Source organism: Homo sapiens, chromosome 6 (genome assembly GCF_000001405.40).
Source record: "Homo sapiens chromosome 6, GRCh38.p14 Primary Assembly".
NCBI lineage: Eukaryota > Metazoa > Chordata > Mammalia > Primates > Hominidae > Homo > Homo sapiens.
The window spans coordinates 169,637,905-169,664,737 of NC_000006.12; the positions used below are offsets into that span (position 1 = coordinate 169,637,905).

At 49.9% G+C, this 26,833-nt stretch overlaps 1 protein-coding gene across 29 annotated transcripts in view, besides 8 other annotated features; it reads right to left on the reverse strand.

The window, feature by feature from the left end:
- Positions 1-26,833, reverse strand: part of WDR27 (WD repeat domain 27) — a 275,610-nt gene that overhangs the window by 211,485 nt on the left and 37,292 nt on the right. For 17 of the 29 annotated variants that reach the window (XR_007059231.1, XR_007059230.1, XM_011535688.4 and 14 more), the window contains 11 exons: positions 26,262-26,382; positions 24,400-24,520; positions 22,759-22,862; positions 21,547-21,614; positions 21,182-21,303; positions 20,372-20,454; positions 14,026-14,104; positions 11,294-11,371; positions 9,869-9,966; positions 5,793-5,882; positions 635-756 (listed from right to left, as the gene is read on the reverse strand). Coding sequence is in view for 24 of the 29 variants with exons in the window: in XM_011535688.4 (XP_011533990.1) it covers positions 635-756; positions 5,793-5,882; positions 9,869-9,966; positions 11,294-11,371; positions 14,026-14,104; positions 20,372-20,454; positions 21,182-21,303; positions 21,547-21,614; positions 22,759-22,862; positions 24,400-24,520; positions 26,262-26,382 (1,086 nt within the window). In the remaining 5 variants the exon portion in view is untranslated. Of the gene's footprint in view, positions 1-634; positions 757-1,650; positions 3,545-5,792; positions 5,883-9,868; positions 9,967-11,293; positions 11,372-14,025; positions 14,105-18,110; positions 19,704-19,857; positions 20,143-20,371; positions 20,455-21,181; positions 21,304-21,546; positions 21,615-22,758; positions 22,863-24,399; positions 24,521-25,658; positions 25,975-26,261; positions 26,383-26,833 lie in introns of those variants that run through there. The other 12 variants (NM_001350625.2, XM_047418590.1, XM_047418588.1 and 9 more) reach the window with 7 other exon arrangements.
- Positions 2,667-3,282: an enhancer, noted in NCBI's record as "H3K4me1 hESC enhancer chr6:170040667-170041282 (GRCh37/hg19 assembly coordinates)". NCBI's record gives its function as "activates a minimal SCP1, AML or CMV promoter by ChIP-STARR-seq in primed H9 embryonic stem cells {active_cell/tissue: H9 hESC(primed)}" and the evidence as "EXISTENCE:reporter gene assay evidence [ECO:0000049][PMID:30033119]".
- Positions 9,131-10,124: an enhancer, noted in NCBI's record as "H3K4me1 hESC enhancer chr6:170047131-170048124 (GRCh37/hg19 assembly coordinates)". NCBI's record gives its function as "activates a minimal SCP1, AML or CMV promoter by ChIP-STARR-seq in primed H9 embryonic stem cells {active_cell/tissue: H9 hESC(primed)}" and the evidence as "EXISTENCE:reporter gene assay evidence [ECO:0000049][PMID:30033119]".
- Positions 16,974-17,023: an enhancer, noted in NCBI's record as "active region_25463". NCBI's record gives its function as "activates an Ori minimal core promoter by ATAC-STARR-seq in GM12878 lymphoblastoid cells {active_cell/tissue: GM12878}" and the evidence as "EXISTENCE:reporter gene assay evidence [ECO:0000049][PMID:35858748]".
- Positions 18,229-19,024: an enhancer, noted in NCBI's record as "NANOG-H3K4me1 hESC enhancer chr6:170056229-170057024 (GRCh37/hg19 assembly coordinates)". NCBI's record gives its function as "activates a minimal SCP1, AML or CMV promoter by ChIP-STARR-seq in naive and primed H9 embryonic stem cells {active_cell/tissue: H9 hESC(naive and primed)}" and the evidence as "EXISTENCE:reporter gene assay evidence [ECO:0000049][PMID:30033119]".
- Positions 19,025-19,820: an enhancer, noted in NCBI's record as "NANOG-H3K4me1 hESC enhancer chr6:170057025-170057820 (GRCh37/hg19 assembly coordinates)". NCBI's record gives its function as "activates a minimal SCP1, AML or CMV promoter by ChIP-STARR-seq in naive H9 embryonic stem cells {active_cell/tissue: H9 hESC(naive)}" and the evidence as "EXISTENCE:reporter gene assay evidence [ECO:0000049][PMID:30033119]".
- Positions 19,197-19,366: an enhancer, noted in NCBI's record as "experimental_91362 CRE fragment used in MPRA reporter constructs". NCBI's record gives its function as "activates a minimal promoter by MPRAs in K562 erythroleukemia cells, with activity observed for the non-introgressed 6:170057282 variant allele {active_cell/tissue: K562}" and the evidence as "EXISTENCE:reporter gene assay evidence [ECO:0000049][PMID:34662402]".
- Positions 23,015-23,514: an enhancer, noted in NCBI's record as "H3K4me1 hESC enhancer chr6:170061015-170061514 (GRCh37/hg19 assembly coordinates)". NCBI's record gives its function as "activates a minimal SCP1, AML or CMV promoter by ChIP-STARR-seq in primed H9 embryonic stem cells {active_cell/tissue: H9 hESC(primed)}" and the evidence as "EXISTENCE:reporter gene assay evidence [ECO:0000049][PMID:30033119]".
- Positions 24,913-26,112: an enhancer, noted in NCBI's record as "BRD4-independent group 4 enhancer chr6:170062913-170064112 (GRCh37/hg19 assembly coordinates)". NCBI's record gives its function as "activates an origin of replication core promoter dependent on BRD2, P300/CBP, MED14 and CDK7 cofactors, and independent of BRD4, by STARR-seq in HCT116 cells {active_cell/tissue: HCT116}" and the evidence as "EXISTENCE:reporter gene assay evidence [ECO:0000049][PMID:35650434]".

Consider the following 26,833-nt stretch of genomic DNA (forward strand, 5'->3'; position numbering starts at 1 on the left):
TGTGCCTCTTACATGCATGTGAATATGTGGCAAGTATGTAAGTGTGCGTATGTGTATGCATGTATATGCGTCTGTGCCTATTGCATGTGTGTGAACATATACATGTAGACACACATTTAAGAAACTAATTGGCCGGGCGCGGTGGCTCACGCCTGTAATCCCAGCACTTTGGGAGGCCGAGGCGGGTGGATCATGAGGTCAGGAGATCGAGACCATCCTGGCTAACAAGGTGAAACCCCGTCTCTACTAAAAATACAAAAAATTAGCCGGGCGCGGTGGCGGGCGCCTGTAGTCCCAGCTACTCGGGAGGCTGAGGCAGGAGAATGGCGTGAACCCGGGAAGCGGAGCTTGCAGTGAGCCGAGATTGCGCCACTGCAGTCCGCAGTCCGACCTGGGCGACAGAGCGAGACTCCGTCTCAAAAAAAAAAAAAAAAAAAAAAAAAAAAAGAAACTAATCAATAACTGTTATTGCATTGAAGCAATAACTTTTAATCAGTAACTTTTATTGCATTAAAGCAAACTCTTGGCTTACGTCCCTTTCCTCATCTCCTGTTAAGGTAAAAGAATGAGACTTTTGAGAAGCTCTCAGCTCCTTTGGAAATGACTGCCCATGGCAGAGATGACTGTCCATTACCAGAAGCAGTGCGAGCTCTGCCCCACGAGCCGACCACATTCGCAGGGTCCCGTCCCGGGCCGCAGAGAGCAGCCACCTCCGGTCCTGGCTCCAGCACACGGCATTCACTGCCCCGTCGTGACCTAACAGGAATGACCACAGAAGGTTACTATTTCTACTATTAATATCAGTTTTGACTGAGTGCTACTTATCTGGTACTTTCATACAACACAACTGGAACAGCATTTTTCAAGTAATTAGGGGCGCGCCAGGAGGCTTCTCCTCGCCACAGTGAGGCTGCAGAGCCTGAGGCAGGGTGCACCATCTCCCTTCAGTAGAGACTCAGTGTGGCTTCTGAAGGCAGTTGCTCTAAAGCCTCACGTTCCATTTTTTCAACTTTTATTTTAGATTCAGGAGGTGCAGGTGTGGGTTTGTTAGGAGCGTGTACTGCATGGTGCTGGGTACTGTGCAGTGCTGGGTACTGCGTGGTGCTGGATACTGCGTGGTGCTGGGTACTGCGTGGTGCTGGGTACTGTGTGGTGCTAGGGTTTGGGGTGTGAGTGAACGCCTCGGCCAGGCAGTGTGGAGCGTGTACCATGTGGTGCTCGGTACTGTGTGGTGCTGGGTACTGTGTGGGGCGTGTACTGCGTGGTGCTGGGTACTGTGTGGAGCGTGTACTGCGTGGTGCTGGGTACTGCGTGGTGCCGGGTACTGCGTGGTGCTGGGTACTGTGTGGTGCTGGGGTTTGGGGTGTGAGTGAACGCCTCGGCCCGGCAGTGTAAAACCTCGCATTTCTTAAACTAAGAAGTTCAACATTATGTGTGCATCTGTGAGTGTATGTTTTCAGAAAAGAACATGATAACATTTAGTATTATGAACTACAGTATAGAAATCTGTGGACTCCATGATAATGTATCAGTATTTTAAAGAACTGCTGTCAACGTTGAAGAAAAAAGTGAAAAAAAAAAATCCCTGAGCACACACATATAAGTTGATCATTTGTTGTGACAGATTTGAAAAGTTTTGTCTAAACTCACAATGGCTGCTTGGATGCTGATTTCTGAGAGCGCCAATGCTGGTCTTCAGGTGTCTGAATATCAGCAGTGTGTGCTGCTCTGATATTAAACTAAGGTAGGCGATGAGGCACAGTGTTTATTTCGTACACCTGTAGGAGCTTTTCTGTCCACTCCCCACCTCATCCTACTCCCAGCCTAACCCTGGGGCCCAGACCCTGAGCACGTGCTGGTTTCTGGACCTGTCTTGCCTCATAACCCCTAGAACGGCTGTCAGGGCAGGAGGCATCTTCAAACAGTCTCTCAGCTGCCACCACCTGACGGTTCTAAGAAGCGGCGGACACAAAGGAAAGGAGAAAGCAAAGACGACCAGGGATGCGCTTCTTCTCAGAGGTCGGCCCTGGAGCCAAAGCCAGCTGTGTGGCATGGTGAGGAGGGCGAGAGGGGACGAGCTGGGGAGGTGAGGGCAAGGAGAGGCCGCACCCAGCCCTGCAGCCTCTGACCCCTGAGCACCCGGGCTGGGATGGCAAGAAGAAGACTGACGGGCAGCCTCACTCATGCTTCCTGACGACAAATGACCCTAGACCTGCTCGACGACCCCATTTTGCCTCCATAGCTCACAGGGAATGGGTAACCACAACTCCCGAGAAAATTCCTGCCATAGCCGGGATCTCCCCACGGAGCAGAAGACCCCTTCCTGTGGGCCTCAGCATGTGAATCACACATCACAATTTATAGACTAGACAATGAACTGCAATCTCACTACATCACATCTGTCAGGGTATCAACATAAAAAAGGCAAAACCAGGAAAGATATAAGAATATGAACATAACTCAGTTCTGCAACAGGACGCCAGGAAACGCAGAGCTGAAATTCACAGCGCAGAAAAACGTGAAATAGCTTTGCTGCCCTCACGTGTAGAGTTCTGGCAGTTTTAGCAAAAGTACAGAGGCTGGTTAAGGAAAGCTCCAAACATTCCTCACTGCTGCCCAGCTAACAGCAGCTGCAAGACTCAAAGGAAAGTCACGTTTGTGACTGCCATTAATAGACACCACCCATGCCGCTTGTACCGAACACCAGCGGTGTCCGCAGCTCTGCACCATCCAAGAATATCGCAGGTTCACAGACACCTGCTGCAGGGCCTGGTCCAGGCAGCCTGGGCCATAAGGGCGTCCTCCCAGTGGGAAGGGCCTGACGTATCTGCCCGGTGACTGACCTCAGAAGTCACTCCATTACCAGCCATGTGGCGCACTGTCTTCCAATATCAAGCTCAGACCAGCCTCCACTGCCTGGCTGCAAGAGGCCGCGAGAGGTCGCACAGGAGGGAGGGTGAAGTCACTGCTACCCATGCTCTTCCTTCTTAGTGAGACTGAGGATGTGTTTTCTACGTGAGGCCACACAGGAGGGAGGGTCAAGTCACTGCTACTCATGCCCTTCCTTCTTAGTGAGACTGAGAAATGTGTTTTTCTCGTCCTTCCCACCTCCTCCTACCAGCACAGCGTTTGCTGCACGTCCAGTGGCCACTAAGCCACCAAGGCCAGCAGAGGCACCGGCAATGCAGGGGTTGCGAAGTGCCACCTTCTGCTCAGCCCCGACAAGTCAGCTTGGTCCTTCATCTCAAGTGTCAGGGACGGACCTCCCACTCCCAGGATGAAAACAATGGAGATTCCTTAGAACTTGCCAAAGGTGGGATCCCCCTCCTCTCCCGAGCTCCAGCCCCAAACACATGCGTGAAGCGCTGCGGGCCGCAGGGTGCATCGAAGACGAATCACCGCAGGCAAGGCCGGGCCCTCGGGAGCCAATCCCCACGAAGCAAGGTGCCCATGGGGGACCACATGGGTGCCTCTTCCTCTCTCTCCCCACGATCTCCTCACGGTACGGAAGGCCTCCCTCCTCTTTTCAGTTGGCCAGTTTCCCCTGTGGTGAGTGTGATGAGATGAGAAGCTTCAGAAACAGAGTGAAAAGGATTCTAAAACCCTACCTAGGTCAGGGTTTTAGACCTCTGGACCTAGACTTCCCCTGGACATGGACCCCGCGCTGGGGAAGCAGTCAAGGGTGTGGGGACATAAGCAGCATGGAGGCCGGCGTGGGCAGTCCCCGCTCCGAGAAGGAGCAGAGCAGAAGCCACTCGGCGCAGCTCGAGCCAACCAAGAGCTCGGGACCAGGAGAGATGCGCATCTTCACTTCATACTTGGACAAAGATTTCTCGTTTTTATACAGTTCCACTATCTGTAATGGAATTTTAGATTTAATCTTCCGAAATGCCTGACCCCAGAACTTCACAACGATCACCGCTAGCTCCAGGGCGCGTCACAGATGACGCAGCTCTCCCGCGCAGCGCGCTCAGAAGCCGCCATCCCGTATCGCTGAGAATCTACTCTGTGCCAGGCACATGCTCGGCGGAAGGCCTGGGACTCAAGTACCTGTCTTTGGACTAGACACAATTTTTGATAGGAAAAATTCTGAAATCTAAAGCAGAAACACATAACTCCTTTATTAAATTAAATACGGTTGCTCTCAGTGGTTTTCAAGCTGGGATGTGCTACCTGACTGTATGCTCAGAGGCCCCTGAACTCTCCAGGAGAGAATTTGAATTTATACTTATTTGTCACAGATCATAATGGAAATAAAGACACTCATTTTTCTGTGTTCTGGGCAGGTGCTGAGAGACCAGTCATATTTTCAACGTTGAGCGATGCCACTATTAAACGTTACACACCCAAAGTGAAACGATGTGGCTTGTGCAGTTGAGATGGTTAAATGTGGCCCTTCCCCCCCGCCCACAGAAACAGAGCAAGTTTTTGTAAAGATGAATTTGAAAACCCACTACATTTTTTCAGTTTAGTGAGAAGCCCTTTTTCCAACAATAAAATACACAGGGAAACACCCACAGTCAACAGAACAACCACTCATATCAACTATTCAGCCACGAAAGAGGCCGGCTCAGGGCTCCCAGGTGCACTGTGAAGATTCTGAGGCTGCAGGATAGATATGAGGTGGGACCAGGAGCAAGGCGCTCGAAGGGCAAGGGTGGCATCCAGGCCAAGCCCGGAGAACCGTTCTCCACCCAGACCATGCAGGGGGCGGCAGCTTTGCTCATGCAGGAGCCGAGCCCGGCTCTGCCTGCCCTTGGGGGCCTGCTAGACCTGGCCCTGGGTGTTAGCAAGCAGAGGGTGTGAGGCGGGAGTCACTGGGGGCGCTCATCTGCTCCCAGGTGTGGCCTTGCCTAGGCCTGCTTCCCACTGTCTCTGTCCCCAACTCAGCCCCACCAGGCCCCACCTCCGCGTTTCCTAATGACTGCCCTTGGGGTGGTCACGCGACAGGCTGTGTGTCCCATATTCGCAATGCTTGGGATTAGAGGTGTTTTGGAGTTCCCATTTTTTCAGATTTTGGAGTATTTGCATTATGGCAGGTAAGCAACCCTAATCCAAAAATCTGAAATCTGAGATGCTTCAACGAGCATCTCCTTGATGTTATGTCAGCACTCAAAGTGTTCTGGATTTGGGGGTATTTGGATTTCAGAATTTTGGATTACGGATGCTCAACCTGTATAAAAACAGAAGGACTAGTGAGATATTTTGTGTTGTTTCTGTGCTTCTGTTAAAATATCTACCAAGTGTAAGTTCTAAAGCAAGCCATATCAGGATCCTAATGAAGAGCTGGCAGGTTTTATGGGATTAGAATTAGGAATCAAATATATGTCCCAGTTATGAGTTGAAATGGTCATAATTTTAACACTGTTGCTCTCAGATCTACTTTTTTTAAAAAAAAATTGTTTGCTTTGTTACATTTATAAAAATGTCTATGTACAAACCCCACTAAATTTCAAAATATATTTCAACTGTATGCCTTTTGATTACATTAATTAAATATATTTCAATTATTTAGGATTTGACTTCATTCACTCCCCTAAAACTCTACAAATGAATGGCTCTTGGCCTCCAGGGCAACAGCCACGAAAGTGCTGCCACGCTGTTCTCATGAGTTATGTTTGCCCTGTTTGGTTGAAGATCTCAGTAAATCTAGTTTAGACTCCAATTCAAGCCATGGCTTTGGTTTGCTGATGTCCTGAAGGAAACAAAAGTGTCCTTTAGCAACTGATAACCAGGACCTAAGTGAGACCCATCCTTAAGTTCATACTGACTGAAATTAAGACATGTTTTACCTGAAAACACAGCAGGTGTCCCAGTCAGGCTGGCATCAAAAACGAGTAACAGATGGTTGGCCAACCCACAGGCCAGCCACTGCCCATCTCCTGTTAAAAGAATTTTAAAAAAAGACTTCTTAGAAAAGCCTAATTCATAGGAGTCACACTGTAGAAAAGCCTAGTTCACAGGAGTCACACTGTAGAAAATCCCAGTTCATACAAGTCACACTGTAGAAAAGCCTAGTTCACAAGAGTCACACTGTAGAAAAGCCTAGTTCACAGGAGTCACACTGTAGAAAACCCTAGTTCACAGGAGTCACACTGTTGAAAAGCCTAGTTCACAGGAGTCACACTGTAGAAAAGCCTAGTTCATACGAGTCACACTGTCGAAAATCCTAGTTCACAGGAGTCACACTGTCGAAAAGCCTAGTTCACAGGAGTCACACTGTTGAAAAGCCTAGTTCACAGGAGTCACACTGTAGAAAAGCCTAGTTCACAGGAGTCACACTGTAGAAAAGCCTAGTTCACAGGAGTCACACTGTTGAAAACCCTAGTTCACAGGAGTCACACTGTAGAAAAGCCTAGTTCACAGGAGTCACACTGTAGAAAAGCCTAGTTCACAGGAGTCACACTGTAGAAAAGCCTAGTTCACACGAGTCACACTGTAGAAAAGCCTAGTTCATACGAGTCACACTGTAGAAAATCCTAGTTCACAGGAGTCACACTGTCGAAAATCCTAGTTCACAGGAGTCACACTGTAGAAAAGCCTAGTTCACAGGAGTCACACTGTAGAAAAGCCTAGTTCACAGGAGTCACACTGTAGAAAAGCCTAGTTCACAGGAGTCACACTGTGGAAAACCCTAGTTCACAGGAGTCACACTGTCGAAAAGCCTAGTTCACAGGAGTCACACTGTGGAAAACCCTAGTTCACAGGAGTCACACTGTCGAAAAGCCTAGTTCACAGGAGTCACACTGTGGAAAAGCCTAGTTCATATGAGTCACACTGTAGAAAATCCTAGTTCATACGAGTCACACTGTAGAAAATCCTAGGCCGGGCGCGGTGGCTCACGCCTGTAATCCCAGCACTTTGGGAGGCCGAGGCGGGCGGATCACGAGGTCAGGAGATCGAGACCATCCCGGCTAAAACGGTGAAACCCCGTCTCTACTAAAAATACAAAAAATTAGCCGGGCGTAGTGGCGGGCGCCTGTAGTCCCAGCTACTTGGGAGGCTGAGGCAGGAGAATGGCGTGAACCCGGGAGGCGGAGCTTGCAGTGAGCCGAGATCCCGCCACTGCACTCCAGCCTGAGTGACAGAGCGAGACTCCGTCTCAAAAAAAAAAAAAATAAAAAAAAAAAATAAAAAAAAAAAAAAAAAAAAAAGAAAATCCTAGTTCACACGAGTCACGCTGTAGAAAAGCCTAGTTCGCAGGAGTCCCACTGTAGGAAATCCTAGTTCATAGGACTCACACTGTAGAAAAGCCTAATTCGTAGGAGTCACACTGTAGAAAAGCCTAGTTCACAGGAGTCACACTATAGAAAAGCCTAGTTCACAGGAGTCACACTGTAGAAAATCCTAGTTCGTATGAGTCTCACTGTAGAAAAGCCTAGTTCACCGGGTCATACTGTAGAAAATCCTAGTTCATACGAGTCACACTGTAGAAATTCCTAGTTCACACGAGTTACGCTGTAGAAAAGCCTAGTTCGCAGGAGTCCCACTGTAGAAAAGCCTAGTTCACAGGAGTCACACTACAGAAAAGCCTAGTTCACAGGAGTCACGCTGTAGAAAATCCTAGTTCGTATGAGTCTCACTGTAGAAAAGCCTAGTTCACAGGGTCACACTGTAGAAAATCCTAGTTCATACGAGTCACACTGTAGAAATTCCTAGTTCACACGAGTCACGCTGTAGAAGACCCTAGTTCGCAGGAGTCCCACTGTAGAAAAGCCTAGTTCACAGGGTCACACTGTAGAAAAGCCTAGTTCATATGAGTCACACTGTAGAAAATCCTAGTTCACAGGGTCACACTGTAGAAAATCCTAGTTCATATGAGTCACACTGTAGAAAAGCCTAGTTCACAGGGTCACACTGTAGAAAAGCCTAGTTCACAGAAGTCACACTGTAGAAAAGCCTAGTTCACAGGAGTCACACTGTAGAAAAGCCTAGTTCACAGGGTCACACTGTAGAAAAGCCTAGTTCACAGAAGTCACACTGTAGAAAAGCCTAGTTCACAGGGTCACACTGTAGAAAATCCTAGTTCACAGGAGTCACACTGTAGGAAATCCTAGTTCATACGACTCACACTGTAGAAAAGCCTAGTTCACAGGAGTCACAGTATAGAAAAGCCTAGTTCACAGGGTCACACTGTAGAAAAGCCTAGTTCACAGAAGTCACATTGACCACAGGCAAGAGTAGAACTTCTAGTTAACCTGGTTCTAAAACACAAACACTAACATCGGCATGGGGGTCTGCAGGTGCCAGACCGTGTTAATCCTTTCTCACATCCTCTACCCAACACCTTGTAAGGCGCTGCCTTTGTCATCCTCGCCATCCTCCCTTAACAGAAGAGGAACAGCAGGATGAGCAGCAGGATGAGAGAGTGAGGCTGCTGTTCAAGGTTGTGAACAGGAAAAGCTGCACCCAAAAGGCCCCTGCACCCAGGACAGGATGCCAATGGCCCCTGAAACAAGGTCCTGGAGCCTGCCTCAAATCAGCAGATTGCCCAGAGGCATATTTGGCTAAGCAGTTATGTTGAAACATTTTCCAAAAACAGGGTAGAAATAAATGATAGAGCTGGGCGCAGCGGCTCACACCTGTAATCCCAGCACTTTGGGAGGCTGAGGCAGGTGGATCACCGGACGTCAGGAGTTTTGAGGCCAGCGTGGCCAACATGGTGAAACCCCATCTCTACTAAAAATACAAAAATTAGCCAGGCATGGTGGTGCACACCTGTAATCCTAGCTACGCGTGACGCTGAGGCAGGAGAATCACTTGAACCCAGGAGGCGGAGATTGCAGTGAGCCGAGATTGTGCCACTGCACTCCAGCCTGGGCAACAGAGTGAGTCTCTGTCTCAAAAAAAAAAAAAAAAGAAAAGAAAGAAATGATAGATGTCACCCACAATATTCAAACTTGAGGGCAGATAACACTGAAGGAATGTTCAGTCTATCAAAGATCAGAAGGACATTTACTGATAATACTACACATCTAATTTCCGAAAATGACTTTAAAACTTCTTTGGCTACAATTATATAATAAAATAAAGGGAATTTAGCGGAGTGGTACATGGTAACCCTTAGGCGACTCAACCCTCTGGACAGATGGCATGAGGGTAGGGCAGGGTACCGGCCCAGATAGGACTTTGTGTCCAGCCCCAGGCAGGGGCACAGCTTGCCTGCAAGGAAATCTCACTTCTGAGAGGCGTTCAGGTGGTGGAACTACCCAGCTGAGGTCAAGAGGTCAAGAGCACTCTCACAAGCTGCTCCTCCCTTCTTTCAAGCACTATTTAGAAAAAAGTGCTGAGGTCCCAGAGAAGCCTGGTGAAGGCATTATCAGGACACACGTGAGAATCGGGCGACTGTCACGGAAGCCGAGACACACTCAGCCCTGCAGGAAAAGGTCCCGGCTGAGGGTCCGGTAAGGAAGGAATCCTGTGCGCAGCCTGCATGATGCCATCCCCAGCCTGGCGCCTCCAGCCCATCCATGAGCAGAGGCCGCGTCTCCAGAGGGAAGCAGTGACTGTTCCATTAGCTTCTTTGCCTGCCGAAGCCCTCCCACCTTAACATGTCTGTAGGAGGGGTCAGACAAACAGAGCAAACCCCGGAGGAGCTGGACACAGAACAGCAAATTCGCTGCTAGTGAGTGAGTGCCAGTGTCTGTGCCCACGCAGGGGTGAGATGCCTGGAGATCACCCTCACTACAGTCGAGTGAAACGCAGTCTCGGTTTTCATCCAGACACAAACCATGCCATGCAACTTCAAGTAACCAAGGTTTTTAAAAATATATTTACAATTATGATACAATAGAAAAATGTTTACAGTGGGCAGAATCAAAGACTCTTACAATGAAATGCTACCCAGCTCCCGCAGGACGTGGCGCACCTGAGTACTGGATGCAGCATACACGTGTGCAGGTGGGGGCGGCAGCGACCTGGGGGCCGGGCTTGGTGGGCACAGCGCACTCCACGGGGTATGCCTCCCTGAGGGAAGGCCACAGGTAACGGTGATCGGGAGACATTCACAGTGAGATTAGAAGTAAAACATAAGCAAGAAACGAAGTGGGCTTCCCCCCATCTACATGTATAATCGTATTCCAGTAAACTTGAATATTTATCTATATGTCTATATTTAGACTCTTATATTCAAAATCAGGAAATAACTCTTTTAAATAGACTTACATTCCACATTGCCAAAAAAGACACATATTTTACATATAAAACAGCAAGGATTTGCTGTGTTTCATATAAACTCATGTGAGTACTGTGACGATTTGGGGGTGAGGGTTCTCACTAAGAGAAAATGAATTTCACTTTCCAGTCTCATGCCGCTGTGGGTGGCGTTGTAATGCTAATCACTCAAATCATCTACAGATGCCTTCCGTGCACATGCCAATGCCTTCCGTGCACACGCCCGAGCCCTGGGTGGCATTTGGGGCCTCGCCACCACTGCTACCCAGCAGCTCCCAGCAGAAGGCCCAAGAGAGCCAAATGCAGAAGAGCCAGCGTGCTCTGTCTGGACAGTGGGGCCCTCACAGAAAAAATTACCAAAAAAATCAGAGCTGAACGGAACTCTGATGCCACATTTCACCTGCATAAGGCCTGAATGCATTTTGCTGCAAGCACGTGCGTAATATCAGGCAGAACGTGGCAGGACAGCAGCAAGGCTGCAGAAAAATGCAGTGAATGCGGGCAAAATCAATATTGGCGCTCTGTAATGCAGTGATTGCAAAGTAGACCCATGTACGTTAAAATGAGTTTTAAGTGCAGTAGCCCATATCTCTCCTCGGACAATGTAATCTTAAATCTAGGACTGGGAGGGACCCTAGATGTCCCCCAAGCTCTTCCCTGTCCAGTCACAAGGGGCCCAGGTGTATGCAGGACATGCCCACAGTCAGAGCCGCAGCCAGTGTGGAGCCAGTCCCGTGGACAGGTGCCCTCCCCAATGGCGTGGGCCACGCCCACTCAGAATGAGCACCTGGCACTACAACGGCCCCAACATTTTCACCCAATCCACCTGCATGACAGGGAGGAGCATCGGCTACGGCATTTTCTAAACTAAATTTTAACAAAAATTTATTATTTCAAAATTGTTAAGGTGGTAAGAACAGACCATGTCTGAAAAATTAACAGGAAAGAAATTTGGCTAAAAAGATATATAAATAATATAGATATACATATCTGTGTACATATGTGTGTAAACACATGTACACATATAAGGTTTTATATCTGTTTGGAAAAGAACCAGTTAAAGTGTTGGAAAGGTCTAGGTTATTTCAAATGTACTTGGAATGCACGCTACATCACACACCGTGCGCAGCTGCTCCTGCTCCTTGAAGATCCTTTCCCCTCACTCTTGATGTTGGTCTTTGGTGAAAACATAGTTACACTGTGGAAAGAAAACTCTAATATCACTCTCAAATATTAAGAGGTCTAAGTTTCTTAAGAGATTTATATTTTACAGTGAAAAAAATTATATACATAGATATAGACGTCTGCATAAATGCTTTCGGGCCCCTCCCACCTGTCCTCCAGCCCTTAAGTCACCTCCTCCCCTCCTGTGTCTCTCATGCTACCTCAGAGATGTCGCCCTGCTACACATTGTCCTGTGACTCCTTTAAAATCCTGGAATAGGACCCTGATGCTTGGCTTTTCCTTTAAGTCCAAAGCCCCAGGTTGGCACTCAGGGCCACCAATGTCTATCAACCCCTCATCCCCCGGGGCTCCCACACAAAGCCTGACACTGATGACATGCCTTAATATGGCAGAACTGGGGAATCCATACAAAGCTGCAGATGCCATTGGAGCAGAATTCATCCATCCAACCATCACCCATCCATTCACTCATCCCTCCACCCCTCCCTCCATTCCTCCATCCCCTCCATCCATCCACGCACACATCCATCTCTCATCTCTCGCCATCCATCCCTCACACATCCATCTCTCATCTCTCTCCATCCATCCCCCCCATCAATTGAGCCACTCATCCATATCTCATCTCTCCATCCCTCCATCCCCTTCATCCAGCCACCCATGCAGCCATCCCTCACCTCCGCATCCCTCCATCCCCCACCATCCATGCACCCATGCATTCATCTCTCATCCCTCCATCCCTCTATTCCCCCTCCATCCATCCACCCACACATCCATCCCTCATCTCCCCATCCCTCCATCACCTCCATCTACTCATCCATCTCTCATCTCTGCATCCCTCCTTCCCCTCCATCCATCCACTCACTCATCCATCTCTCAACTCCGCCCCTCTCCATCCCTCCATCCATCCCTCTACTTATCCATCTCTCATCTCTCCATCCCTCCATCTCCCACCATCCATGCACCTACTCATCCATCCCTCATCTCTGCATCCCCCCATCCCCTCCATCTACCCACCCACTCATCCATCCCTCATCTCTGCATCCCTCCATCCCCTCCATCCACCCACCCACTCATCCATCCCTCATCTCTGCATCCCTCCATCCCCTCCATCTGTCCACCCACTCATCCGTCATCCCTCCATCCCCTCATCTATCCACCCACTCATCCACCTCTCATCTCTCCATCCCTCTTTCCCCTCATCTATCCACCCACTCATCCATCCGTCTCTCCATCCCTCCATCCCCCTCCATCTACCTACTCATCCATCTCTCATCCCTCCATTCCTTCATCCCCTCCATCCATGCACCCATTCATCCATTGCTCATCTCCCCATCCCTCCATCCCCTCCATCCATGCTCCCACTCATCCATCTCTTATCCCTCCATCCCCACCATCCATCCACCAACTCATCCATCTCTCATCTCTGCACTGCTCCATCCCCTCCATCCACCCACCCACTCATCCATCTCTCATCCCTCCATCCCTCCATCCCCACCATCTATCCACTTATTCATCTCTCATCTCTCCATCCCTCCACCCCACCATCCATGCACACACGCATCCATCTCTCATCCCTCCATCCCCTTCTGTCCATCTCTCCATCCATCCATCCCTCCAAAAGTGCCTTATGAGAGGGTCCAGGGTGCTGAGTGCTGTCCCAGGCACAGGGGTTTAAAGAACAGATAATAAGACACAGTCACCATTGTTCAAGCCAGAGAACAAGCAGAGCAGGGAAGGGCTTAGAGGGTTGGAAGATGTGTTTACACAGAGTGGCCTGGGATTTCTGCCTGGAGCACAGCAGTACCACTGGGAGGGGTGGGAGTTGGGGAGTGGCCAGGGGCACAGAAGAGCTTGGAGGGTTGGAGGCTGTCTTTACACAGAGTGGCCTGGGATTTCTGCCTGGAGCACAGCAGTGCGGGGCGGGGGGGGGGAGTGGGGGAGTGGGGGAGTGGCCAGGGGCACATGAAGACGGGAGCTTGGTAGAGGTGAGTGCCAACCAGGGAGACAAGCGTGTGCGCTGCGGTCAGGGACTCCAGGTAACAGAGCCATTTTGGCCGCTATGTTAAGAGACATAAAAAGTCAAGAGGTGAGGTAGGAGGCGGGGGATATGTCTGCATTTTCTTCAGAAAAGTCACATTTGCCTTTGAGGAGTGGGCTCCTGAAGGTTTAGGGAATCTCAAGGCCTCCTCATGGTTTCTCAGCTGCTTTGTATCTCCTTGCCTTTGAGCAGTCTTGCTAACTCAGGGACTCAGGGCCTAAATGCACTCTGTTATCGTGCTCTGATGTTACGGCAGAGCTGTGTTCTAAGAAGAGCACCGTGTCCGGCCTTGATGGGCCACGTTTGTTTACAGCATCGTCATGCTCTCCCAGCCCCACACCCCACCAGCTTCCCCTCACCTCCCGGGACCACCACGTTATCAGAAAAGGACTCGGAGGACTGCTCTGAGGCCCAGCACATGGTGAATGCTCAGGAAACGTTTGCTGCTGCAGCTGCTGCTAACTGGCATGCTGGGGTCCAACCCACCACATTTTAACTTCTGTTTCTATTGCTATGTCCTCTCTCCATACTGTGGCCCTCGGGGATGTATGTGTGTCCCTATTTGTGTTAAAATCCTGCATCTGTGACGCAGGTGCATTTCTGTCTCTCATTGACATGAGTTCACTCACTGTGGTGCTGACGCATAACCAGATGACCTAACTTTACTATGGAAAACCAGGCGTTGGTCCTTCATGACGTTCCGTGCAGCTGTGGAAAGGCAATTTTAAAGAAGAAACAAACACTTAAAATTAGCATCTCATGATGGACATGAGAAGAACAGAGTCTCTTCAAAACAGAAACATTCACACAAACAGAATGAATTCCTGACCATAAATTTAAGAGGTTTCATATCTGAAGTCACACCAACCATCATCAGCAAAAGATTAAATCAAGGGATTAAAAGGATAAGAAAATAGCCCAAGTTGGTTGTTTTGTTGTTGTTGTTTTGTTGTTGTTGTTGTTGTTGAGACGGAGTCTCGCTCTATCGCTAAGGCTGGACTGCAGTGGTGCAAGCTCGGCTCACTGCAACCTCCACCTCCCATGTTCAAGTAATTCTCCTGCCTCAGCCTCCTAAGTAGCTGGGATTACAGGCACACGCCACCACGCCTGGCTAATTTTTGTATTTTTAATAGAGAGGGGGTTTCACCATGTTGGTCAGGATGGTCTTGAACGCCTGACCTCGTGATCCACCTGCCGCAGCCTCCCAAAATGCTGGGATTACAGGCGTGAGCCACTATGCCCGGCCTAGCCTATTTTACATTTTGCATAGCACTACCAGTTGACAAAAACTCTGACATCACGTGAACTTACCACAAGGGTAAGTGTTGTAAGTAGAGGGAGGCAAATTTGGGGATTATAGCATTACTGTAAATGAAACATATCCATTAATTTTCCATGGGAATATTTTCTAAACTACACCCAAAACATCAACATGTTAAAATTTAATCACTTTCTTGCTACAGAAAAGTTATCTCTGTATTAAAACTATTTATATAATTGTTCTTACTGAAGGTTTTGTTCTAAACTCTAAATGCTATCGTTAGTTGCGAACCACAGTACATCACATATGCTAGTCTGAAACGAGATGACCCTTGTTGACAAAAAGTTTAAAAATTCCACTTTTAAGGAGTGATCTAAATGAAGCGTATGTAAGAAGAAAAGCTAAAGAAACAAACATGTTAAGTTTTAAAGGTGAAATCAGGAGACTCGTGTCTCCTTCACGACAGGTTGTGTGCACAGATCTCACTTCCCAAATGCGCAGCCGTCCATGGCGGCAGACAAGACGAGCGGACCCCGTGGGTTGGACACGCAGGAGGCACTGCTCGCCACTCAGCATGGAGCCCACTCTCACAGGGGAGTTTCTTTCCATGGAAACAGTCAGAACCTTGGAAAACCATCTGAACAGTCTAGTATGATTCCAACTATTAGCCATTTTAATTAATATTGGTTAGTCAAGGTTTCCAAAAATTTTTTACTAGAAATGTATATATACATATAAATTCCTTTGTTATTAATTAAGCAAATGGTTCAAAAAGGCTTTTTTACATTGCACAACAATGTGAGGGTATGGAATCCCACTGAACCATACACCTAAAAATGGTTAAAATGGCAAGTTTTATTTTATACATATCTTATAATGAAAAAAGTAAATGAACAGAAAATGTCTTTTACAAGACTACAAAAATCAGTCTTTACCACATAAACAATGTGCAAGACCATATTATTTACCTAATAAACACTTTCAATTCTTCATTAGCATCATTACTACATAGGACTTTTTCAATTTTTTGAGGGTACTGCTATTTAAAAAGTGAATGCTAACTTTCATTATCTGGGTAACACACTGGTTAGGTATTCAGATGGCCTCTCCCACAGAGAAACGCCACAAAAGCCAGAAGAAATATGTGCTTCATTTTGTAAAAAGGGAAAAGAAAATGAGGACAAGATATTGAAACTGAGGTGAGCTGTGGATGGCGGCACCTCCAGCCACACAGGCTGAGGATTTGTGTGGCCTCAGGGAGGTGAGGGCAGAAAGGCCAAGTCCCTGGCCACTATGCGAGCTTCACCTTCTCCGACTAGCCCAGGAAGCCTGTGCCGTGATGGTCTGTACTGGTCCCAGGCTGCTGGCCCTGCAGTCAGAGTGACCTTGACAAGTGGCTTAAAAGGCCGGAAGCTGTGGATTTGTGCACCCAAACCCCTAGAAAGCAACGCAAATCTCCTTTGAGAGAACACAGTGCACTTCATTCAGTTCCAAAAAACAAATACAAAAACAAACAAAACAGAAACAAACAAAAAACTAAAGGCCCACTTCTCTAATGAAAATTGATGCAAAACTCCTCAATAAAATATTAGCAAACCAAATTCAACAACACAACAAAAAGAGTATACATCATGGGATTTATCCCTGACATACAAGGCTGGTTTTATACTCAAAATCAATCATATACCTAATTTAAAATATTACACCAAGCATTCAGGTATAGAAACAGAGAAAGCTCTCCCTAGCTCATTCTGTGGAGCTGGCACACCAAAACCAAACTCAGAAAGTTCCTGAGAAATCAATCACGCAAGAACATGAATCCAAAAGATCCTGTACAAAATAATAGCGAAGAGATAATAAATGCAAATTAGGCTTATGACAGTAAAGCGTATCTGATTAAACACAAGCAATAACCACCTCATGTTTAACCAGGAAAACGCAAACGAAATCATAAGACACCTCTGTATCGTCACTGGTTGCCAGACGGCTCAGGAGGGTCTCCAAAGGCTGGTGAGACCCCACTCCCAGCCGGTTTCCAGGTTCTTGGCACCTTCAGAGCAAGAATTTAGATGCGAAAAGCAGCAGCTTTTGCTGCAAAGCGAAAGCACACGCCTAAGTGAGAAGCCAGGCGAGCTGAGGAGGAGGCGCGCACAGGAGAAGGAGGCGCGCACAGGAGGAGGCGCGCACAGGGTTAGGCGGCGCGCACAGCAGAAGGAGGCGCGTTCAGGAGACGGAGGCGCGCTCAGGAGGAGGAGGGGCGCTCAGAAGGAGGCGGCTCGCTCAGGAGGAGGAGCCCCGTTCAGAAGGAAGCGCGCACAGAGGAGTTTGTGTTCTTTTGCGGGTGTTTCTTTAGTGACAGTGCGGGATCATCATCAGGTATTCTGGGAAAGGAGGGGATTTTTAGGTAACCCCCAACACAGCCTCGTTGTCTCTTACTCGGGTTTTCCCGGGAGAACAGAGGACACATCACGCTGGTGGGTTCGCCTTCTCTCTCCCTCGCTTTGGGTTTTCTGCCGCCCTGTGGTTACTTTGCCACGTTCCTGTCTTCGCTGTTGCCTGGGTTTTCCGTCCTCCTGTGACCACCCAGTGCTATTCTTGTCTCACACTGGGTAAGCAGAAATTCCAGCGTCCAGCGACATGCAGCCATGGCAAGAGCTCCGGGCAGGAGAGGCGGCGTGTGCTGCTGGAGTAACCTCTGGCCAGCCACCTGGGAAGACCCTTGCCATCGTCTGCCATCGACCTGCCATGTGGGGAACCCCGAGCCCAGCAGCTGCCCGCACAGAAGATCAGGGCAGCCCTCCCGGCTCCAGGGTACAGCAGGGTGCTGCAAAGACTGCTCACAACAGCAGCCTGGGACAAGCCAAACGTCTGTTAATACTGAATAAATCGTGGGTACATAAACCGCAGTATATCCAGACAACAGAACGCTGTATAGCAACTGAAGCAAATCTCACAGACACGAAGTGAAAAAGACAAATCAGAAAAGAACGCACTTAAGAAAGAATATTACTCTACATATAAACAGCCCCCAGATTAGACATATGAGAAGATTCATTGTGATGAAAGACTTCTCGGTGCCTCTTTGCCAGCTGGAGACCCCCGAGGCTGGCGATGCCCCTGCCTGGCCTGACAACTGAAGGGTGAGCAGGGCAGAGTTTTTTTTGTTTTTATTTTTTGAGACGGAGTCTCGCCCTGTTGCCCAGGCTAGAGTGCAATGGCACGATCTCAGCTCACTGCAACCTCCACCTCCTGGGTTCAAGCGATTCTCCTGCCTCAGCCTCCTGAGTAGCTGGGACTACAGGCGCCCGCCAACCACGCCCAGCTAATTTTTCTTGTATTTTTAGTAGAGACGGGGTTTCAGCGTGTTAGCCATGATGGTCTCAATCTCCTGACCTCGTGATCCGCCTGCCTCGGCCTCCCAAAGTGCTGCGATTACAGGCGTGAGCCACTGCACCCAGCTGGAGAGTTTTATTGAGTGACAGCTCTCAGCAGAGAGGGGACCCGGAGAGGGCAGCCCCCTACCCTCAGTCAGGTGGTCCCCCAGTGTGGCTGAGTTTGGGGCTTTTATGGACTCAGAATGGGGGAGTGCATGTTGATTGGTTTGTGACTATGCAAAAAAGGTTAAAAAAAAAAGGTACAACTCAAAGATGGGCACAGCAGTGTCAAAAACCAATTAGGGAGGAGTGGGAATATGTAAAATAGGTGAAGGGTGGGGGCCAATCAGAGGAAAGCATGCCAAACAGGAAAAGAGGTTCTCAATCCCGTCTGTGGATTCATCCGAGACATGTGGTTTGGCTTTCAGACGTGAAGCTGTCTTTGGTTTGGAGGTTGGGTTTCCCTGGGGACCTGCCTGTGTCCACCTGGAGGTTTATCTGACTTCTGCTGCTGTCAATTGTTAAGGATGAATGGTAGGAGGTGAGACTGACAGGGCCAAGAGAGACCAGGCGGGGTGGGGGGAAAGCATGTGAGGCGGCTTGTGGGGTCCAGGAAGACGAAGAGGTTCGGGGGGCTGAGAACGAGGAGGCCGGGAGGGATCACGTGAGGAGGCCTGGAGGGCCCAGGAGGAAGGAGCCAAGAAGGCCCAGGAGGGCCCAGGAGGAGGAGGCTGGGATGGCCCAGGAGGAGGCGACAGCTCCCAGCTCCGACAGCTCCCAGCTCCGCATTAGGCCGCAGCAGCCCAGGGGCATTCTCTTCTCAGCCATCTTCACACCCACTTGCTGTTGTCTTCTCTGCTATAGTGTCTTTTGCAATTTAAGATGCCTTTTCAATGGTGAATAATTAGCACCTCCTTACAAGGCAGAAGTTCCATGACTTAATGAGGAGGAAGGAGGTCAGAGGCCACTCCCAGCCGAGGAGTCAGCTTGGCCCAGAGGCTGCAATGCTGGCTGAGCCTGGCCGCCTCCCCCCGGCCTTCATTCTCACAATTTCTCAGAACTGTCCCCATGGTGATGGGACGGCAGCAGAGCATAAACCGGCAGGAGACGGGCAGTTCACACCGACAGTGGGTCTTTCATGGAAACAGGGCGGAGGAATGGGGGACCTGCTGGAAACCCCCAGCAGCAGGGACCGCCATGGCAGGACGAACAAGCAAACAGCTCCAGCCCCAGGCTCAGCTCTGAGTCCCCGCCTTCCACCTGAAAGCTCTCCCCGATCTGCAAGGCGGGTCAGAACCACACAGTCAGTGAGACCCAGGAATGGCACAGAAGGTGTTCGAGGCCTGATTTCAAAAAGTCTGGTAGGGAAGGGAGAGGCCAGAAGTCCCCGAAGTCAAGCTCAAGGGCTGCGTGGGAGCATGAAGGACACAGCCCATGTCTGAGGACGGACTGACGCAGGAACCCTAGCCCAGCCTAGCCGAGCCCGGCCCGGGGAGAGGCCCAAGGGTGGGGTCGCCAGGTCGCTGGCCGGGGAGATGGCCCTTCTGGGAGGTGAGGCCCAGCAGTCAGGCAGCTACCAGGCAGAAGGTGAAAGGCGGCTGCGGAAATGCCTCCGTTTTTCAAATGAGGTCCAGTAGGTTTCACAAGACCAATTAAAGGGTTAGACTGGTCACTGAAGGGAAAAAAGAATTATCAGTGAGCCTTGAAAGAAAGGGAACATAATGACGTTTACCATCTTAAAGTGAAAGTTAATTTATACATATTTGAAAGATGCAACATGTGGATTTGTTTGGCTGCTGCTCAGAACAAACCAATAGGAAATATTGTCAAGGCAATCAAGAATAATTTATTATGGCCTTGCTAATACAAGGTTCCAAAAAATGACTGGTTTTGATATAACGTCATGGTGGCTAGGTAAAAACATACATGTTCCAGAAATGCACACTCAAGTGTGCAGGAGTACAATCACACGCTCGGGATCTGCTTTCAAATTCCTCAGCAGAGAAAAAAGGGGAAAAAAATGTTCTCACAATCAGTAATTGCTGAAGGTCCACTCTGCACCCCCACTGCAACAGGCACCAGAGGAACAGCGGTCAGTCTTGGGCACGTTGCTGAATCCCATGAGTGATGGCCAATTCAGGAGGCGAAGCACCCAGCAAGTTCCCCACCACAGCGGACATGGAACACGCACGAGAGGCAGAGACATGAAGGACAGAAGGATGGAAGGAAGTACGGAATGCATATTTTAACATAAGAATTCGCAAAGCAATGCAGCAGCCCTAACCACAATGAGAACGCATCAGCCTTGTATTCTTAGATCTCACAGCACCCTGTACTGACCACGTCGCTGTTCACTAGCAGCCTTGGTACTCTTCTCCTTGGCAATTCCCAGATACAGTGGAGAGGTCGGTAGGACACAGGAGCTGAAACAGAAACAAGCCCCATGAAACTAGGAGCGCAAACGACGATACGATGGAAATGCCTCAGTGACACACACTTTAAAGACAGTTCCAAATGACTGATTCCTGCAGCTGTGGACATAACAGTATCTGAAAATGAAAACTGTCAAGTGTATTCTTATCCTTGTAGGAAAAAAATATTCTTAATAAAAGCGCTGTTTTATAATGTACATTCTATTATGAAATAGTGTTTCAATTAAAATAAACTATCAACTATTTCGTTTTCAACAAGATAGAAGCAACAGCACGAAAAACCTTCTTCCAAATAGCATTGGCAGAGCTCCGAGTTTTCTTTTTTTTTTTTTTTGAGATGGAGTCTCGCTCTGTCACCCAGGCTGCAGTGCAGTGGCGCGATCTCAGCTCACTGCAAGCTCCGCCTCCCGGGTTCCCACCATTCTTCTGCCTCAGCCTCCCGACTAGCTGGGACTACAGGCGCCTGCCACCATGCCTGGCTAATTGTTTTTTGTATTTTTTAGTAGAGATGGGGTTTCACCATGTTAGCCAGGATGGTCTCGATCTCCTGACCTCGTGATCCACCCGCCTCGGCCTCCCAAAGTGCTGGGATTATAGGCGTGAGCCACCGCGCCCGGCCAGAGCTCAGAGTTTTCTAATCTTTATTTCTGAACATAGAAATCCAGATGGCACTTATTGGTGAACACACACACACACTCCACACTTGAAGACACTCTACCTGGCTGGCACCGAGAGGCTCTGCCCCATGCTGGGGCACTGCTGAGCCCTGACTAGCGCGGCCGGGTTGATCTCCAACACGGCAATCTTCCCGCCAAAGAGGGAGGCCAGCAAGCACAGCACCTGCAGGGACGCGGTTTCAACATCGTTAGCGACACCACCCAGTAAAAGCAGACGAAACGTGCATCCGCACACGTATCCTAACAGCTGCTTCATTCTCATAGCAGCGACATCGCCCTGTCACTCCTAAAACGTTTTTACACACAAAATCCCGTTTACTCAGCCAGTCGTTACAGGATCACTCTGAAGAAAGAAGAAATCAGAGGCACGTCTCATAGACAGGGAGGGCCGCGTCTCAGGACTGACCTTTTGATCCGCAGTGCGGTTCCTCAGGGCACACGATCCGGCCAGCAGGATGCTGAGGCTCTGGAAATCTTCAGTTGAGCGAAGACCAGGAAGAACATGATGGGGAGGGAGGTAGCACATACACACGGAGTCACTGCCCAGAGCCCACCACACACAGCCCAGAGCCCACCACACACAGTCCAGGCCCCACCACACACTTTGCAGGCTGTGCACCACATCCTCACACATACAAGGCCCCAGGCCACACACACACCAGCGCACACACCACACACACACCAGGCCCTGAGCGTCACACATGCCAGGCTCCGCTCTGAGGCTGGGATGTGACTCGGACTGAGACCTGCAGCTCAGCCTCCTGGAGAAGCCACATGTCCAGCACCAGATCAGAAAGGAAATGTGTAATTAGAGCTGTGACCATTTGGGGGAAGGAAAGGCTGAGTTTTCAAGGAGAAGCTGCGCCTGGCTGAGCTGGGGAGGGGCAGGGATGGGCGGCTGAAGGGAAGGGCGTGTGTGAAGACACAGATGCATCCCACAGCCCCACAGAGGTCTGAGCGTTCAGGGCTAGAAAGGAGGCACCGAGAGGAGCAGTGCCCGGGAGGCCGCCGAGGAGGCCCTGCTGCAGTGGAGGAGAGGGACGGAATCCAGCCTGCTTTTCAGAAGTCGCCTGGGCTCCTGGGCAGAAAGAGTGCGGCTGGTGGCATCCATGGAGTTAGGAGGGGTGGGGGGATGAGATGGGGGTCTTGGGGGAGGGGGTGGGGGTGGAGGTGACTATTCCTACATTTCTGGAGCTGGCAGAAACTGGGGAAGGGAGCCAGGGTTGGAGAGGAGTGCGCCTCGGCCGGGTTTACGCTGTGCGAGCCTGGGGCTCTGGGAGGCTCTCTAAGGATGGTGGAGAATCCAGGGGCTTCCCAAGGGTGTTCCTGCAGGTGTTCCACGCTGCTGGGGCCCGGGCGGCCTGGAGTGCCAGGCGAGGGCCTGGCAGATGTAGGCAAGGAGTGGCTCCAGGGCTGAGTGCCCGAGGGTCCGGGAAGGGCCCTCGTCCTTCGGATCCAGCAGCACAGAGGTGCTCACGTGCTCAATGCTGAGTTGTGACTGAAGCATCTCATCCTCAGATTCACACGGCAAGGCCTTCTCCACAAACACTTACACTACCCCACATACCAGTCAAAGGAAAACATTACAGTTACATGGCGTTGAAATCAAAGATCTTACCCTTGTAATACAAAGCAGCTTCCACTTCCAGGTTTGCCAGGTTAAATACGAATAAGCCCACTGAGCTTCCGATCCACACACATCGGGTGTTCTCAGAAGAAAGACTGATTTAAGGAAAAAAAGAAAAGAATACACAATAATCTTATTCCTGAAGGTTGGGCCCCACGTGCGCCCCCTGGCCTGGCTGTGAGCTCTCCGCAGGAGTGGGGAGTGTGGGCGTTGGGCCCCACGTGCGCCCCCTGGCCTGGCTGTGAGCTCTCCGCAGGAGTGGGGAGCGTGGGCGTTGGGCCCCACGTGCGCCCCTTGGCCTGGCTGTGAGCTCTCCGCAGGAGTGGGGAGCGTGGGCGTTGGGCCCCACGTGCGCCCCCTGGCCTGGCTGTGAGCTCTCCGCAGGAGTGGAGAGCGTGGGCCGGGGCAGGTTCTTGCCAGTGAGAACCACATCTGTGCCAGGCTGGCCACATCTGTGCCACCAACGCATTTGTGGTGATCCCCTGGGCACCTGCTAATGTCTGTGAAGACGCTCGCTCTGACCTCTGTGGTTTCTATTTTCTTCTAAGGTTACAGAAAAGGTCAGTGCCAGTGCCTGGGCCAAGGCCACTGCTCAGGTAGCCTCCGAGTGACTAGACTTGAAGGCCACACAAGCTGCCCACCTCTGTGAATAAGGAACCAACTCCAGGAGGAAAGTAGCTGGCCCGAGGCGGCAGAGTTAATACCAATGCCAACGGGGTCTGTTAATACACTGAGAAGCCATCTCCAGGGAGGCTGGACATGGACTTGGCAGAGGCCCCCAGCTGGAACCTGCTTTCCAGACCTCCCCTCTCCAGCTCCGCCCCAGGCAGCACCCTGGGCTCCTCCTGGGCATCCACCAGCACCAGTCCACGGTTCACCCAACGACCATCGTCAACAGAATGGGTCATGTGGCTCTGGCTTAGCTCTGAGGGCTCCCTCTGCTCGAGGTAAGCCAGGGAAGCCTCAAAATGCCTCAGGTCCATGCACCCACCGGGAGCACCGTGTCCAGCCTCCATGCCCACCCTGCTTACTCTCTGTGGTTTGGACCAAGCAGGGAATATTCTGCTCCAGGGGCAGCTCTGCACAGAGACAAAGACAAGCAACGGCCAAGGCCATTCAAAGCAAGGTTGCCCCCTAATCTCAAGCATTTTGGGGAGGAGAAGTAAACATAATTGTAATATATTCTTGAATCACAGTTAAACAGTACTTCCTTATGTTGCCAAATATGTAATAATATTTCTACTGAGCACAGAAATAAATAAAATTAGTCTGGGGTTAACTTTAAATGTGTAATGTATAGCACAGCGGTAGATGGGAAAGTCTAGGCCATTCCAATCACCATTTCCTCTTTCTAAAGAAAAAGTTGTATCACAGAGGCAAAGATCTGCCTAGACTTTGGTAATAAACTTAAAAATCATCCAATTCCTTTTATTAAAGACACTTACGTATCATTGCCCAAGTTTACCAACTTTAAGATTTAAAACATGCAATCCCAAGAATGAAGTTACTAATAATCAGAGACCAAAATAATTTGGTTTTATCTCAGTCATTCTTAGAAAATGAACCTAATGTTCATCTAAGGAATTTAAGAGGTTTCCTTTATGTGGCATAGGCAAAGTTTTTGATACTTACCATCCACATGCAGAATTTGGGATGAGTGAGAGATCACAGGGTGCAAGTCTCAGTACAGGAAATGTTACTTCAACCTGCTCTCCTTTTCCCAGAGCACTTGTAGAGGGAAGCTGGCTTTCTTCTAGGGACAGAATTATTGAGAATCTAAGAAGTGAACTTAAATGCATCCGTCAAGTTTAAAGGCTGAGGACTGCCACACAGAGATGCTGCAGTGAATGTGCACCGTGGAGTCACTCGGATCACGCGTCGAGGAAAGCACTAAGGTAACACCCAGCATGACGCGTGTGCACCACGGAGTCACTCGGATCACGCGTCGAGGAAAGCACTAAGGTAACACCCAGCATGACGCGCATGCACCGCGGAGCATTCGGATCACGTGTCGAGGAAAGCACTAGGGTAACACCCAGCATGACGCGTGTGCACCGCGGAGTACTCAGATCACGTGTCAAGGAAAGCACTAAGGTAACACCCAGCATGACGCGCGTGCACCGCGGAGCATTCGGATCACGTGTCGAGGAAAGCACTAGGGTAACACCCAGCATGACGCGTGTGCACCGCGGAGTACTCAGATCACGTGTCAAGGAAAGCACTAAGGTAACACCCAGCATGATGCGTGTGCACCGCGGAGCATTCAGATCACGCGTCAAGGAAAGCACTAAGGTAACACCCAGCATGACGCGTGTGCACCACGGAGTCACTCGGATCACGCGTCGAGGAAAGCACAAAGGTAACACCCAGGATGATGTGTATGCACCATGGAGTCACTCAGATCACGCATCGAGGAAAGCACTAAGGTAACACCCAGCATGACGCTACCTGGGAGCAATGCAACTTCAAGTGCAGAACCAGAGCAAGGGAGTGGGAAAGAGGAGATAATCAATTGAAAGAACTTAACTTCATATTTCCTAAAACTAAGTTTAAGATTTCCTTCAGCAGTAGATATTATCAAATAAATAACAAAAACCAAGGTTTAAAACATCAGGAAAAAATTGGTATACTGGATAAAAGTAATTTCAGACCTAATATGAAAAGAAATAGTTTAAAGTCATCTACAAAAAAACACAACCTAAAAGAAAGAATGAGTAACCAGAATGAGGAAGAGAGTGTAGGCTGTGAGCCCAGAGATGATTTCTGTAATATGAAACGTCAGCTGCACACACCAATGAAAGAGGTGGCCCCTGGATTGAAAAGTAAAATCAACATTTTCTTCCAGGAGAGGGTCAGCTCCTTTGTGACAGTACAGGAGATAAAAAGCGCACCTGAGGAGAGCTGTCGTCAACAGGAAGCAACTCTGGACAGCCAGAGACCAGGTGAGGACAAGGTTGCTGGGTGGGTGCATGTGGCATCTGCAATGCGCAGGAGACCAGGTGAGTACGAGGGTGCTGGGCGGGTGCAGGTGGCATCTGTGATGCGCAGGAGACCAGGTGAGGATGTGAGGGTGCTGGGCAGGTGTAGGTGGCGTCTAAGATTCACAGGCCAGGTGGGGACGTGGAGGGTGCTGGGTAGGTGCAGGTGGCATCTGAGTCATGCAGTGTACCTTTCTGATCAGCATGACCTGCCCTCCTTGGTCACCCACTGCAGGAAAGCAACCCATAGCTGCAAAGCTGCTGCCTTGGTGCCTCTGCTCTTCTGTTCACCAAAGCCTCTCACCCCCGTCCCCACCCACACCAGGTGCCTCCATCTGCTGATGGCCCACCCCTCACATGACCTGCAGGGCCTCAGTGGTTTTCTGAGGTTGCAGCCCTTGGCTTCTCCTACATTGGGATCTCTCTCTCCCCTGTGTGACCTAGGGCCCTTGACATGGCGCCTGGTGAAAGATCTGGGCCAAGTGGGAGGCCTGAGGGAGGGTCTGAGCAACCCACCTGGCTGGCTGCACAGCCCAGACTTAACCCTTCTTGTGGAGAAAGTCTCTGTCTTCTTCCTTAGGTCAACCCGTGCCACACGACGATAATGGTGTCCATCCATCAAACTGAAGATCCAAAGCTACAAAAGCAAAGAAGATGCAGACATGGCGCTGCAGCAAGGGTCCTGACGCAGAAGCAGCAACACCAGAGGTGGAGCAGGGAGGGCAGACACGTCACAGGACGGGCCCTCCACGGCCTGCAGAGGCTCCCGGCACAGCTGTCTCCTGCCTTCAACATCCCCTCTGGAGGCCCTCCGTACGGCCCACGGTGTCAGAGCACTTTCACACGGCTGGCACATCAGCTCAGGGCACATGGGCAGGATCCTACTGTGCAGGCCTCCCCAAGATGCTCCTCTGGGAACCCCAGGCCCCAGGCTCTCTGCACACACCCCACAGCTTCACAGCCAAGAGCACGTCCCACATGCCCTGGGTGAGAAGACAAGGCAACAGCGGTCAACTTTGTCAAAAGGAAAAAAAAAATCTAAGTTTTCAAAATTATCTTTTTCAAATTATAAAAACAGCAACTTTATC